We start from the raw sequence: 16171 nt of genomic DNA on the forward strand, positions 1-16171 counted from the left end.
CCCCTGGGTGGTAATCCTGCTGCTTTCTGTACTCGAACATAAAGTCCTCCTCAAGACAGCCTGTGGTCTGCCTCTTGGCAACCAAGAAGCCCGCAGTGACATACGAGCCCCGAGCCATGGACTGGAGCACCAACGGCAGTGTACACCCTACTCCTGAGCCTGCCTCTAATGTCCTCTGTGTGGTTCCATTTGTAGAACAGTTGTTGCACTGAGACTTGTGCATGCTGGGCAAGGCCAAGCTGGCTCAAAGAGCAACCAGCAACCTCTGCAAGGGTGTGCCAGGAGGAGGTGGACCAGCCACGAACATCACTCGCTGCCGGACATGGTACCTCAGTTCTTCTACCCTAAAGGTAGGGCCCCAGTGCCATCTGCTTTTCCTCAGTCCTCTGCTCCATCAGCCATCAGGTGGCAGCCACTCAGGCTGTGGGAACCTGGCCATCCCGGCTTCGTTGAGGGGGTGAGATTGGTGGCTGGTCCAACTGCTCTAGGCACACCCTTGCAGAGGCGTCTGGTTGCTCTTTGAGCCAGCTTGGCTTTGCCTGGCATGCACAGGCCCCAGGTACTGACACACTGCTCTGAGTGAGCGTGTCATGCCTGGGACCAAATTCTAAGCCTGGCCCGGGTCACAGAAGCCTGAGTCCCCTAGGTTGTAATCCTGGCTGCTTTCTGCACTTGAACATAAAGTCCTCCACAAGATGGCCTGTGATCTGCCTCTTGGCAACCAAGAAGCCCAAAGTGCCATATGAGCCCTGAGGCATGGACTGGAGCCCCAAAGGCAATGTACACCCTGCTCCTGAGCCTGCTGGTCATTTTCTGTGTGGCTCCATTTGTAACACAGTTGTTGCACTGAGGCTTGTGCATGCCAGGCAAGGCCAAGCTGGCTCAAAGAGCAACCAGCCACCTCTGCAAGGATCCACCTGGAGCAGGTGGACCAGCCACCAACCTCACCCACTTAAGGAAGCAGGGAATGTGTGTTTGTACCATGCATTTCACTACAAGTACATTTCTCCTGAGTTTGGTGGCCTAGGTTTTCTTCTAGGTTTTTTATGGTTTTAGGTCTTAAGTTTAACTCTTCAATCCATCTTAAGTTAATTTTTGTATAAAGTGTAAGGAAGTGGCCCAGTTTCAGTTTTCTGCATATGGCTAGCCAGTTTTCCTAACACCATTTATTGAATAAGGAATCCTTTCCCCATTGCTTGTTTTTGTCAGGTTTGTCAAAGATCAGCTGGTTTTAGATGTGTGGTGTCATTTCTGAGGCCTCTGTTCTGTTCAATTTGTCTATATATCTGGTTTGGTACCAGTACCATGCTGTTTTGGTTACTGTAGCCTTGTAGAATAGTTTGAAGTCAGGTACTGTGATGCCTCCAGCTTTGTTCTTTTTGCTTAGGATTGTCTTGGCTACTCGAGCTCTTTTTTGGCTCCATATGAAATTTAAAGTAGTGTTTCTAATTGTGGGAAGAAAGTCAACGGTAGCTTGATGGAGATAGCACTGATTCTATAAATTACTTTAGGAGATATGGCATTCAGGCACAGAAATGTCCTTGTGTTAGGCAATACCATTCAGGACATAGGCATGGGCGAAGACTTCATCACTAGAACACCAAAAGCGATGGCAACAAAAGCCAAAATTGACAAATGGGATCTAATTAAACTAAAGAGTGTCTGCAAAGCAAAAGAAACTATCATCAGAGTGAACAGGCAACCCTCAGAATGGGAGAAAATTGTTGCAATCTATCCATCTGACAAAGGGCTAATATGCAGAATCTATAAAAACTTAAACAAATTTACAAGAAAAAAACAAACAACCCCATCAAAAAGTGGGCAAAGGATACAAACAGACACTTCCCAAAGGAGACATTTATGCAGCCAACGAACATGTGAAGCAAAGCACTGGTCATTAGAGAAATGGAATTCAAAACCATAATGAGATACAATCTTACGCCACTTGGAATGGCCATCATTAAAAAATCAGGAAACAACAGATGCTGGAGAGGATGTGGAGAAATAGGAATGCTTTTACACTGTTGGTGGGAGTATAAATCAGTTCAACCATCGTGGAAGACAGTGTGATGATTCCTCAAGGATCTACAACTAGAAATACCATTTGACTCAGCAATCCCATTACAGTGTATATACTCAAAAAAATATAAATCATTCCAATATAAAGACACATGCACACGTATGCTTATTGCAGCAGTGTTCACAACAGCAAAGACTTGGAACCAACCCAAATACCCACCAATGATAGACTGGATAAAGAAAATGTGGCATATATACACCATGGAATACTATGCAGTCATAAAAAAGGATGAGTTCATATCCTTTGCAGGGACATGGATGAAGCTGGAAACTGTCATTCTCAGCAAACTAACACAAAAACAGAAAACCAAACACCACATGATCTCACTCATAAGTGGGAGCTGAACAATGAGAACACATGGACACAGGAAGGGAAACATCACACACAAGGGCCTGTCAGGGTTGGGGGCTAGAAAAGGGATGGCATTAGATCATGGGTTGGTGCATGCAGCAAGCCACCACAGCATGTGTATACGTATGTAACAAACCTGCACGTTCTGCACATGTACCCCAGAACTTAAAGTATAATTTAAAAAAAAGAAATTTGCTTTTAATTAATCTTTTCATCATAGAACTTGTAAAGAAAATACTTCTGAATCTTCTACTACCACATCATAGCTGGGACAAACTGCTGATATTTTAAAAGTAACACAAATATCAAACAGAAAGAACTAGACTTAGGAACCAAACTCAGGTTTCTGTAGTGAACAGGGCAGAATCTTAACTTTGGGTCGCCACCACTACTCCTTCAGTTTGGCCTTGGCTAGCAAAAGATGCAACCACTTATGTAAAAAATAAAAATAAAAAAGTTAAAAAAAATCATTTCTGCTAACTGGATTTTTTTTTTTTTTTTTTGCAGCCACATGAGTTTTAGCCAATTCAGAAGCCTTGTTCCCCACAATTTGGAGCATTCTTTGGATCTGACCAAGTCAGGAAGAGATGGGAGAAAAGTGAAACAACATCAACAAAACCCCAAACATAAACAAACAAAAAGAGTTAAGCAAAACAAACAAATGCACAATTCATATGATTACTGAATGTTCTAATGGTAAGGAGAAATTAAAAGCAGCTGGTGAGTAATCTTAAATTTTAGTCATTAAGGAAAAATTTTAAGACAAAACTCTAATTCAGCTACTTACCTGGAAATAAGTCTCAGGCTAGTGATTGTTCTCTGCCATCTTAGAAGCTGGAAAAAACTTACACTCACCTTCCCTGTCAGAAGCAAGCTGAAACTCAAGAAAGGAGGTGCCTGCTCTCCATCATCATGGAAGCAGGAAAACTTGCCTTGTTGGAAATAAGTAAAACTTCAGAAAAGGAGTTGTATGGCAATCAATCTTAGATATCAACCAAATTTTGGGAGATCAGGGATTCTCTGCAGGGGAGAAGCTCCCTAACCTCAGCACATTATCCTATTGGTTTGGGCAATAAAGATAGCCCAGGTTGGTATCAAGCAATAATGAGATTTATCAAAGGTCAGGACCACCTTTGTAATCTCCTTCTCTGTGTTTTTTTTTTTTTTTTTTTTTTTTTTGAGACGGAGTCTCACTGTCTCTCCCGGGCTGCAGTGCAGTGGCACGACCTTGGCTCACTGCAAGCTCCACCTCCCAGGTTCACACCATTCTCCTGCCTCAGCCTCCCAAGTAGCTGGGACTACAGGCACCCGCCACCATGCCCAGCTAATTTTTTGTATTTTTTGTAGAGACGGGGTTTCACCGTGTTAGCCAGGATGGTCTTGATCTCCTGACCTTGTGATCCATCCATCTCAGCCTCCGAAAGTGCTGGGATTACAGGCGTGAACCACCGCGCCCAGCCCTCTGTCTTTTTTTTTTTTTAAATCTTTATTGGTATAGTCTGTTTTGTCAGAAACTAGGAGTGCAACACCTGCTTTTTTCTGTTTTCCATTTCCTTGAAATATTTTTCTCCATTCCTTTATTTTGAGCCTATGTATGGCACTGCATGTGAGATGGGTTTCTTGAAGACGGCATACTCCAATGGGTCTTGGTTCTTTATCCAGCTTGCCCCCTGTGTCTTTCAATTGGAGCATTTAGCCCATTTCCATTTAAGGTTAGTAATGGTATGTGTGGATTTGATCCTGTCATCATGCTGTCAGCTGGCTCTTTTGCAGACTTATGTATGTGGTTGGTTTTTAGCATCACTTGTCTGTGTACTTCAGTGTGTTTTTGTAGTGGCTGGTGGTGGTCTTTTCTTTCCATATTTAGTGCTTCCTTCAGGAGCTCTTGTAAGGTAGGTCTGGTGATAACGAATTCCCTCAGCATTTGCTTGTCTGAAAACGATCTTGTTTCTCCTTCACTTATGATGCTTAATTTTGCTGGACATGAAATTCTGGGTTGAAATTTCTTTTCTTTGAAATGTTGAATGTCTTTTCTGGCTTGTACAGTTTCAGTTGAGAGGTCTGCTAAGTCTGATGGAATTCCCTTTGCAGGTGATGTTGCCTTTCTCCCTAGCTGCCTTTAACATTTTTTCTTTTATTTTGACCTCAGAGAATCTGATGATTATGTGTCTTGGGGATGATCTTCTCATGGCATATCTTACTGAGGTTCTCTGGATTTCCTGAAGTTGAATGTTGGCCTGTCTGGCTAGGTTGGGGACATTCTCATGAATGATATTCTGAAATGTGTTTTCCAAGTTGGTTCCATTCTCCTCATCTCTTTCAGGTACATTAATCAGTCATAGATTTGGTCGTTTATATAATCCCATATTTCTCGGATGTTTTGTTCATTCCCTTTCATTCTTTTTTCCCCCATTCTTGTTTGCCTGTTTTATTTCAGAAAGCCAGTTTTCAAGCTCTGGGATTCTTTCCTCTTCTTGGTCTATTCTGTTAGATGGTCTTGCACATGAGATGGAGCTGGTCTGACCTCAGCCCTCCCTAGTCTGCTTGCCTCTCCCAGGACCCCAGCCTGGCCACACCTGCTTACAGGGCACTCTCAGGTGCCCACACATACTACAATAATATTCATAATGCAATCACACACAATCACCATGTGACTACATTATGAAAATTCTTCTAGTGTGATTTACAGCTCTGTCAGGTCAGTTATTTTCTTCTTTATACTCACTATTTTGTCTGTTAGTTCCTGCAATGTTTTACAATGATTTTTAGCTTCCTTGTATTGGATTACAACATACTTCTTTCACTCAATGAACTTTGTTCCTACCCATATCCTGAACTCTGCTTGTATCATTTCAGACATCTCAGCCTCAGCCCAGTTCTGAACACTTGCTGGAGAGTTGATGCAGTCATTTGGAGAAAAGAAGGTATGCTGAATTTTTGAGTTTTCAGTGTTCTTGCACAGAGTCTTTTTCTCATCTTTATGGGCTTATCCATCTTCAATCTTTGAGGTTGCTGACCTTTGGACAGGGTATTTTTCCTTTATTATATCTGATGACCTTGAGGATTTGATTGTGGTGTAAGGTGGATTCAGCCAACAGGTTTTGTTTTTGGAGGATTTTAAGGGGCCAACATGCAGCTCCCAATTCTTGGACTGTGTGCTTTAACTCTGGGGAACTTGTATTGGGCCACAACTTTGTCCTCTGGCTCCTCGAGGTTTGGAGTCCACTGCACTGAGGGGACCAAAGTGCAGCAGCTGTGGCAGAATGCTAGCAGATGCAAAAGTCCCTGCCTCCCTGTGGGCATTCACCCAGTGGTGGAGGCAAAACAGCTGGGGTGTGGGCCACGGGCCCCTGCTGACTGTGTGTGCTGTTGCACTGGAGGTAGTGCTGGTTTGGGGTGGGTGGCTGGCCAGTGAAGGTGCCTTCTCTGATCCCCCCCAAGCAACAGTGGTCACTCAGGGTATAAGAAGGTCCCTTTTCCTCTGCACAGCATTACCTCAAGGGTGAGATGCTAGCAGGGGTGGGGTTTTTGGTTCTGTGCCCACCATGGCTTCATCTTCAGTGGCAGTTGGTGTGGGTTGGGGTGTGTGCTGCATTCCCATATGCTGTTAGGGCAAGTACAACAAAACCCACCTGTGTAAACACACACAGCAAAGTGATGTAGGAAGTTTCCATATAAAGGGCTGCAGTATGGAATGGTAATGTGCAGGCTAGTGCGTGGCTGTAGAGGTCACCTTGCTGCAGCTCTCCACTGATCAGGCACGGTCCGCTTGTACAGAAGCTATGGTGTGGGCACCCGAAAGTGCCCTCTAAGCAGGTGTGGCCTGGCTGGGGTCCTGGGAGAGGCAAGCAGACTAAGGGGTGCTGAGGTCAGACCAGCCCCATCTCATGTGCAAGACTGCCCAGCACAGATCAGGTCTCAGAGGAGAACTCTCTCAAAAGTGAATCCTCAGCACAGCACAACTGCTCTACACAAACGTGGCCAGACTTCTTTTTTAAGCAAGTCCCCTTTTTTACGAAGAGAACTCTTAGACCTGATCTGTGCTGGGCAATCTTGCACGTGAGATGGGGCTGGTCTGACCTCAGCACTCCTAAAGTGCTGGGATAAAGTGTCTCATAAGAGCAAGTGGAGCCTAGAGACATAGCTGTCCCTGCCCTCCAGGCTCCACATCAGCTGACTTGCTGCTCCACTACTTTCCTTGTCTCCTGGGGGCTCCACCCCAGAGAGGTGTAAGTTAGCAGTTACTTAATGTAATCACCCCAGGATGGAGGGTCTGTGTTGTGGGCCCAAGCCACGGTTCCTTGTCTGGTGATGAGCAGTAAGGGGTGTGTTGTACCTGTGGAAGATGGACTGACTTGTTCCTTGTGTCAACTGCAGCTTGTTGGAGGTGTCAATATGGCACTTAGGGTCTTTGCTCCCTTGATATTCTGAGGGTAGCAAGGGCAGTTCCACTGCAGAGGCAGTGGCAGAGAGGATTTCTGTTGCTCCTGGAAGCTCTGTCCAGGGAGTTGCTGAGTTGCTACTGGCTTGAAAGCTCAAGTGGGGGGCTGGCTGGAGACCCAGGCCAGGAAGACCTGCCCATCGAGGAGATATGGAAATGGGCACCCACATAACAGTCTGGCCACTTTTCTGTGGGGCTGCCGTGGTATGCTGGGGGTCCACTCCAGTCGCCAATTGCCTCGTATTTTCCAGTGGCTGAAGGTATCAGCAGTGAAGCCTGAGAAAAAGCAAAGACGATAGCCTGCCCTTCCCTCTGGGAGCTCTGTACCTCTGAGGTATGAACCTGTTGCCAATCTCAACACACCTGTAGGATGTGACTGGAAGCAAGTTGAGAAGTCTTGCCTAGTAAGGAGGAACAGGAATAGGGACTTGTTTAAAAAAGAAGTCTGGCCACGTTTTTGTAGAGTGGCTATGCTGTGTGGGGGGTTCACTTCAGCCCCTGGTCTCCTCAGACACTCTGAAACTCTAAGACTGAACTGGCTGAGTCATCCAAACAGCAAAGATGACAGTCTGGTCCTCCCCCTGGGAGCTCTGACTCAGGAGGCCTGAAACCTCTGTGAGCCAGAGAACAGCAGTGAAGGTGGCTGGAGACCCTGGTTGAAAGGCTCCACCCAGTGATTAGAAATGTGGTTGGGGACTGGCTTAAACAAGAATCTGGCCACGTTTTCGCAGGGTGGCTGTTCTGTGCTGAGGTACCACTTCCACCCCTGGTCAGCTTGGGCTCTCCAAAGCCCACAGGCCAGAAGGGCTAGTTGCCCAAACAACAAAGGTCATGGCCCACCCCTCTCTCTGGGAACTCTGTCCCAGGAAGGTTTCAAATCTCCATTGGCCAGGGAACACTGGTGGGTGTAGCTGGAGGCCTCAGGTGGGAGATCCTGTCCAGTGACGAGGAACAGGATCAGAGGCCTGCTTACAGAAGCATTCTGGACATGATTTGGTAAAGCAGCTGTGCTATGCCACAGGATCTCTTCTGCCCCTGGTGGGTTTGTACTCTCCAAAGCCCGCACGCTGGAATCGCTAAGTTGCCCAAACAGGAAAGATGGTGGCCTGCCTCATCTTTTCTCTCAGAATTTATCCTGTGTGATGGAGCTTAATTTTTAGGTTGTTAATTTTACTGTCAGCGTTAGAGTTGTTCAGAAAGAATCTCACTGTTATCTTTTAGGTGAGATATATGAGAATTCATTTTCTCCTGTAAATAAACCTGTTCATGTTTGTTCTCTGGAAAGAAGTCCCTTTCAGCTATCTGACTTTGATCACAATCATGTAGAGCAGTAGTCAGTCTACAATGACATGATTGAATTTCCATTTCCAGTGTTTCCTAGCTGTGTCTTACATTCTCCAGTTCAGAACTGAGCATTCTCAGTTGTCAAAATCCTAAGCTGTCCACTGTACTTAAATATTGGTTTTCGTTAATGCTTCTTCATTCAATTGCATAGCCCTTAGAAGTTTATCAGTCTTTTCTTTCACACTTTCAATTTCCTCCAAAATTTTATTTTCCCTTAGCTGGTTCTGATGTTTTGTTTCATCTAGTTCCAGTCTCCAGAAATTAGCATGGCAATTTCTTCCTGCAACATGCTGTTTTCACGCAAGAGATCTTCTTCTTTCTTATGACTAAGAGAAAGCTAAGTAAACAAAGGGAACTTTTAGTTAGCACTCAATAGAATGACATATCATGATTTCTTCTAAAATTAAAGAATGACATTTATATTTGTATAATGAAATAATTCCCATAGTGGATATTTAACTGGAAAAAAGTTGGACAAAACTTCAAATCTAAAAGAGTGTAAATTCCAAAAAGTTGAAATATTTATCTAAAGACCATGAAAAATAAATCACTAGAGGATTTTTAAGAATTTCAGAATTGGAAAAGCCTTTCTCTGAATTACAAAAAACCCAGAGGCATAAAATAGAAGATTAATACATTTGGCTACATTTTTTAAATTGGGTTTACACTCTGATATCTAACCTATAAACCACACCATCATAAGAGCCTTAGCTATGCGTATATTAGGACAGAAGCAATTCCTCAAAGTTCTTTAAGTTCCTTTTTCTGAGGAATGTTTTATCAATATACTGCTGTCCTAATATTTTTACAGTCAGTTGTAAGCATTACATTTATTCATAACTGTTAAATCTAAGCATTGTACCCTTCTACAATGTACACATCTGCGTCTAAGCATTGCACTTCTACCTACAACACTCAACTCATTTAGGATCACGATTCTTAAAAGGAGAGGTCAAAAAATATATGCAGCCAGGACCAGTGGCTCACACCTGTAATCCCAGCACTTCAGGAGGCTGAGGCAGGAGAATCGTGTGTACCTGGGAGGCAGAGGTTGCAGTGAACTGAGTTTGTGCCACTGCACTCCAGCGTGGGTGACAGTGCAAGACTCCATCTAGAATACACACACACACACACACACACGTATATATGCAACGTGCAGGATTTTTGCCAGGTCTTCTGATGCTACTGCTAGTGATCCTCCACAAAATCACAGTTGCTTCTGTAGTGTAAATATATAAATACAAAAGAAGCCTTTTATTTCAAAATACAAATGGTAAATAAGATATAACTTACAAGGCTTTTCTTAGAAATCATGAGATTATTTGCCATTGCAATAACTTTTCTTTCCTCTTTATAATGTTTGAAACATTATAGTAGTAAGTGTGAAATAGGGGAAACATACTCAACTATTCATCTGGGAACAAAATACTTATCAATAAATTATCACTAAATGTGTATCATGGCATGTCATTGTTTTCAAAGCTCTTTGCATTGAAATGAGAAACTACTCGGAGCAAACTGTTCCTCTCCTCAAAAGCAAGGATAATGACATCCACAATGTGGCCTCTGACCCAGCTGTACATTTCCTACTTTCCTATTAGTGAAAATAACAAACTGACTTCTCTATTAATATTTTAAAAAGAACGAATGTCCCAAAACTAGCAAATCTGTTGTTAGTAGCAAAACTTATTTTTGATATTGGAAAGATAATCAATTCTTATGAAAAATATCAAATGCTTTTCCTTTGGATTGAGGCCATTGTGAAGGTCACTACTCGACTGTTGCAGGCAAATGCAGTTGAATTAAGAACATGGCTTTATCCTATATGTACATATATAGATATATGACCAAGGATATACAGGGTGTGTGTTTACATATATACACACACACACACACACACACGTGTGTATATATGTGATTTAAAAATCCTTTATACCTTCCAAAATAAAGCTTTTTAAAAATATATACACATATGAAAACATTTGAAAATGACTAAAGAAAATACCTCAGAATTCATTTTCTTTTCAGCCACTTCTATCTGCTTTTGTTTATTAGTCAGAATCTCATCTTGTGATATTCCAGTGTTCTGTTCTTCAGAAAGTTGTTTCCGGGTATCATTTTGTTCGTCACTAGAAGAAATTTTAATTTTCATGAAATACTGGAGGTGTCCCTAAAATGATCTACAGGGCAAGATGGCACCATCAGATGTCATTCACACAATGCATATCTGCACATTAATCCAAGACAAGACAAAGGGGTCTCACATCTGTTAACCCTGCTCTCCCAGTCATGTTGGCACCAGGGACTAGTTTTGTGGAAGATAATTTTTCCATGGACCTGAGGTGGGGGATGGTTCCAGGATGATTCAAGCACATTACATACATTGTGCACTTCATTTCTATTATTACTAATATATAATGAAATAATTATATAACTCGCCATCATGTAGAATCAGTGGGAGCCCTCAGCTTGTTTTCCTGCAACTAGATGGTCTCATCTAGGGGTGACAGGAGATGGTGACAGATCATAAAGCATTAGATTCTCATAAGGAGTGAACAACCTATATCCCATGCATGAGCAGCTTGCAATAGGGTTCAAGTCACACTCCTATGACAATCTAATGTCACCGCTGATCTGACAGGAGGAGGAGCTCAGAAGGTAATGTGAGTGACAGAGAGTGGCTGTAAACAGATGAAGCTTCACTTGCTCCCTACCACTAACCTCTTGCTGTGTGGCCCAGGTCCTAACAGGCCAGGGACTGGTACTGGTCTGTGGCCTGGGGATTGGAAACCCCTGTGTCAACCCAAACTTTTTATGTTTATTTTTTGGAAACAGTTTCCACTTATATTCTTGATTCCTCTGTAATTTATAGACAACTTAGAAATTCCCTTTGGAACAAGACAGGGTCTAATATTGTGTTTTTAACATAGAACTTTGAATTCATTTTATCTGTGTATGAGAGAGAGATGTGAAATAAACTGATCAACAATCGCTTTCAATTTTACTTTTATTTCATGCATATTAAGAAGAAAACTGGGAAGCCCTAAGGCAGAGCAATTGGGCAAGAGAAATAAAGGGCATCCAAATTGGAAAAGAGAAAGTCAAACTCTCTCTTCAGCAATGATATGATCTTATGCCTAGAAAACTCTACAGACTCCTACAAAACACTCCTAGATTTGATAAATGAATTTAGTAAAGTCTCAGAGGTTACAAAATATACAAATACCAATGAATAGTACCACTATACACCAACTACAACCAAGCTGAGAGTCATATCAAGAATCCAATCCTTTTTACAATGGCTGCAAAACAGCAAAATACCTAGGAATATACTTAATGAAGGAGGTGAGTCATCTATCAAAGGATAACTGGAAAACACCACTGAAGAAAATCACAGATGATACAAATAAATGAACATACATTCTATGTTCCTGGACTGAAAGCATTGATATTGTGAAAATGCCATAGTGCCCAAAGTAGTCTACAGAGTCAATACAGTTTCTACCAAAGTACCAATGTCATTCTTCACAGAGTTATTTTAAAAAGCTGCCATTCATGTAGAACCACAAAAGAGCCTGAATAGCAACAGACATACCAAGCAAAAGGAACAAACATGTTGGCATCACATTACCTGACTTCAAATTATACTCTAAGGCCACAGTAACAAACATCATGGTACTGGTATAAAAGTAGATACACAGATCAATGGAACAGAATAGACAACTCAGAAAAAAGGCCACTTACAACCAAATGATCTCTGAGAAAGGATACAAAAACATACACTGGAGAAAGTACACGTTATTCAACAAATGGTGCTGGGAAAAAAAGATAGTCACATATAGAAGAATAAAATTGGATCTCTACCTCTCACCATGTAAAAAAATTAATTCAAGATGGATTAATGGCCTAAACCTAAGACCTGAAGACATTAGCCTAGGCAAATAATTTATGATGAGGACCCTGAAAGCAAAAGCAACAAAAATAAAAATAAATAAACAAATAAATAAATAAATAAATAAATACCTAATTAAACTAAAAAGCTTCAGCACAGCAAAAGAAATAATCATCAAAGTGAGCCAACAACCTATACAATGGGGAAAATATGGGCAAATTATGAATCTAACAAAGGATTAATGTCCATAACCTACCAGAAACTCAAACAAATCAGCAGGAAAAATACAAATAATTCCATTAAAAAGTGGGCACATGACATGAATAGACATTGCTCAAAAGAAGATGTACAAATGGTGAACAAGAATATAAAAACATGCTAAATATTACTAATCATCAGGGTACAATAAAACAACAGTGAGATATCACCTCACTTCAGCCAGAATGGTCACTACTAAAATAAAAAAAACAGCAGATGTTGGTGTGGATGTGGTGAAAAAAGAAGAGTTATACACTGCTGGTGGGGATACAAATTAGTACAAATCTATGGAAAACATTATGGAGAGTTCTGTTAAAGTAGATCTTACCATTCTATCCAGCATTCTCATTTCTGGATACCTACCCAAAACAAAAGAAATCATACTCTCAAAAAGACACCTATATACATATGTTTACTGCAGCACAATTCACATATGCAAAGATATGTTATCAGCCAGTGTCCATCAACTGATGAGTGGAATAAAGAAAATTTTATATATATATATATATATATATATATATATATATATACCTATACCTGAGACTGGGTAATTCATAAAGGAAAGAGGCTTAATTGATTCACAGTTACACATGGCTGGGAAGGCCTCAGGAAACTTACAATCATGGCAGAAGGTAAAGGGGAAGCAGGCAACTTCTTCAAAAGGTGGCAGGAGAGAGAGAAGTGAAAGGGAAAGAGCCCATTATAGAATTATCTGCTCTTGTGAGAACTCACTATCACGAGAACAGCATGGAGGAAACCGACCCCATGATCCAATACCTCCCAGCTGGTCTTTCTCTCAACACCTGGGAATTACAATTTGACATGAGATTTGGGTGGAAACACAAAGCCAAACTACTGGGGGGGGGTGTATCCTTACTTTTAAAATATCAAAATGTCATTATTTATATTTCAAAGATAGCAATTTTTATTAGTAATGATTTTGTTTGAAAATAAAATGACCTGGTAAATTTTCTTCACTTTTAGCCTAGTATTTAGTCAAAATATAAAAAGCTGAATTTGCCAGCAGCAAACTGTAATTACTTTTAAATGAGGTAAAGTTGTATAAGAATATCACCGTTATTGTACTGAGAAGAAAGTGAACAAGAAAAGGAATTTAAAAAGAGAGTAGAGTATCACTACCATATACATACATGAACTGACAAAGAGACTAAAATCTCCTACTGGAGATTATGTTAGGACTTGAGCAAAAGCTTCTAAAAATACCAAAAACAGAAAGAAAATAATTAATTTTAAGGAATAAATTATACAGAGAAATATGTATTTTTTTAAAAAGAAAACAGATATTCCTGAGAGCTGTTATTAACCAATTCACCTTGACCAAAATTTTAAAATGAAGTCTACAATTCTGGAATATAAAATAGTTTCATTTTGAACATAGTTAATTGAAGGCAACTTTTATACAGAAAATTTTCAGTTAAAGTTGACTCTAACTTATGAAAGAAATGACTTGTACCAATGGTAACAAGAAGCCACCCAAAGCCAGTTTGAAATCTAGTCAATCAATGACCACTGCTCTTGCTCACCAACCAATATCAATGTGAGCAGCTTGCTTCTGAAATACAGCCACGCAGCAGTACCTGCTCCATCAGAATAGACAGTGCCTGACCAGTATTCCTCTTACTATAGGAAGCAAAAATTCCAACTCTGTCTCTTTATTTCAAATACCAAAGGTTCATAATCCCTTGAAAAGAATTTTCAAGTCCATTAAATGTGCCACCCTAATTTTTTTTTTTTTTAAAATAAAATACTAGTGGCCAGGCGCAGTGGCTCATGCCTGTAATCCCAGCACTTTGAAAGGCCGAAGTGGGTGGATCACCTGAGGTACAGAGTTCGAGACCAGCCTGACCAACGGGGTGAAACCCCATCTTTATTAAAAATACAAATATTAGCCGGGCATGGTGGCATGCCCCCGTAATCCCAGCTCCTTGGGAGGCTGAGGGAGGAGAAATGCATGAACCAGAAGGTGGAGGTTGCAGTGAACTGAGATCATACCACTGAACTCCAGCCTGGGGGATACAGCGAGACTCAATCTCAAAATAAAATAAAATACCAGTAAACTTTGCAATTCCTCTGACTCAGTTTGCCATAATTACAATTATGATTACTAGTAAAAGAATAAATAGTGAATAACCACAATATTGGGCTTTTCTCTCTAAATAAAAAAATTAATATAAAGAATGTAGCTTATTATAAAAAGCCAAAACAATTTTAAAAATGCACATAATTACCGGGCAAAACTGTTAGAATGAACCATGTCAAACATTTTTAAAGTGAGAATTAATCAAACAATATATCCAGGATAAACTCCATTCACTCATTTAATAAGTATTTATTAGGTAGCTTCATCCAATATGCTAGGCCTTTTTCTAGGCAGTGAGGATATTGTAGTGAAAAATAAAAACCCTATTCATGAGAGTGAGAAAAACACACAATAACAACAGACAGATAAGGCAAAATATACAGGATGTTACAGGAGAAAAACTAAAGCAGGAAAATGAAATGTTTATGTGTTTGATGGGGAGGGTGGTGGGAAAGTTGGGATGGTCAGAGAAGTCCCTGCTGAGAAAGGGGATTTTTTTTTTCTAATACAAAAAACCTTTTATTTGTATATAAAAGTCTCTAAGAAATGATGACATAAGGTTAACAGCGTTGATGTCAAGATACAAATGGGTTTGAAGTTAGAGATGATAAATCACTTTGTTTCACTGAACCTTCCCTTCGTTACGTTAGAGAGCATCCCTGGTAGGCACCCAATTGAACCTTAAGCATGACGCGTCTGGGTAGCACACCGTTCTTCCTCAGAAAGTGGTTGTTCCTTAATGTGTTTCTTTTTACCCTTTTTCCTCTTCTTCTTAGAAAGGGGGTTTTAAATAAAGAACTGAAGGAATGGAAAGAGAAAGCTAGGAGGATATCTGGGGAAAAAGCATTCCAGACACAGGGAACTGCGAATCACAGAGGTGTGCCTGGCATCTTTAAGCACTAGGGGTAGATAAGGGATGGCAAGAATTCAGTGTGGCTGAAGCAGAGCAAGGGAGATAATTAGGAGGAACTTTGACATGTACTCCGAGTGAAATGGGAGATAATCAGAAGGGCTGGGGCAGAGGAATGAAACAATTTGACTTATGTTTTAAATACATCCACTGAGTTAAGAATTGATGAAAAGGGAAGTTTTTAAAAACCAGGACTATCAATTCCCAGTCTATGACACTCATCTAGACTGCAGATGAGGGTGGCTCAGATGTATGAGATATGACTGGCTTCTGGACATATTCTTCAGGTAGACCTGACAAGATTTACTGAGAGATTAGATGTGAGGTGTCAGAGAGAGAGAGAGAGATGAGTCAAGAATGACACCAAGATTTTTGGCAGAGCAACTGGAAGAGTTGCCCTTAACCAAAGTAGGAAAGACTACATGAGGTTTAGCTTTCAGGAAGGACATCAGTAGCCCAATTTTGGATCTGACAAGTGTGTGATACCCAATAACTAACCAAATAGAGATGTCAAGTAGGCAGGCTGATATAGAAATCTGGAATTAAGGAGAGAGATCTGAGCTGGAGACATACATTTGGAAATCACTAGCATATACACAGTAGAAAAAGTCATGAGGGGCCGGGTGCAGTGGCTCACACCTGTAATCCCAACACTTTGTGAGGCCAAGGCAGACAGATCACCTGAGGTCAGGAGTTTGAAACCAGGCTGGCCAACATGGGGGAATGCTGTGTCTACTAAAAATACAAAAATCAGCTGAGCATGGTGGCATGCACCTGTAATGCCAGCTACTCAG

General features: G+C 41.1%; 1 protein-coding gene across 2 annotated transcripts in view; it reads right to left on the bottom strand.

The window, feature by feature from the left end:
* Positions 1-3898: 3898 nt before the first annotated feature.
* POTEC (POTE ankyrin domain family member C) overlaps positions 3899-16171 on the bottom strand; it is a 36262-nt gene continuing 23989 nt past the window's right edge. For both annotated transcript variants that reach the window (NR_134878.1, NM_001137671.2), the window contains 2 exons: positions 10222-10345; positions 3899-8553 (listed from right to left, as the gene is read on the bottom strand). Coding sequence is in view for 1 of the 2 variants with exons in the window: in NM_001137671.2 (NP_001131143.1) it covers positions 8458-8553; positions 10222-10345 (220 nt within the window). In the remaining variant the exon portion in view is untranslated. The remainder of the gene's footprint in view (positions 8554-10221; positions 10346-16171) is intronic.

This window comes from Homo sapiens, chromosome 18 (genome assembly GCF_000001405.40).
Source record: "Homo sapiens chromosome 18, GRCh38.p14 Primary Assembly".
Classification (NCBI taxonomy): domain Eukaryota; kingdom Metazoa; phylum Chordata; class Mammalia; order Primates; family Hominidae; genus Homo; species Homo sapiens.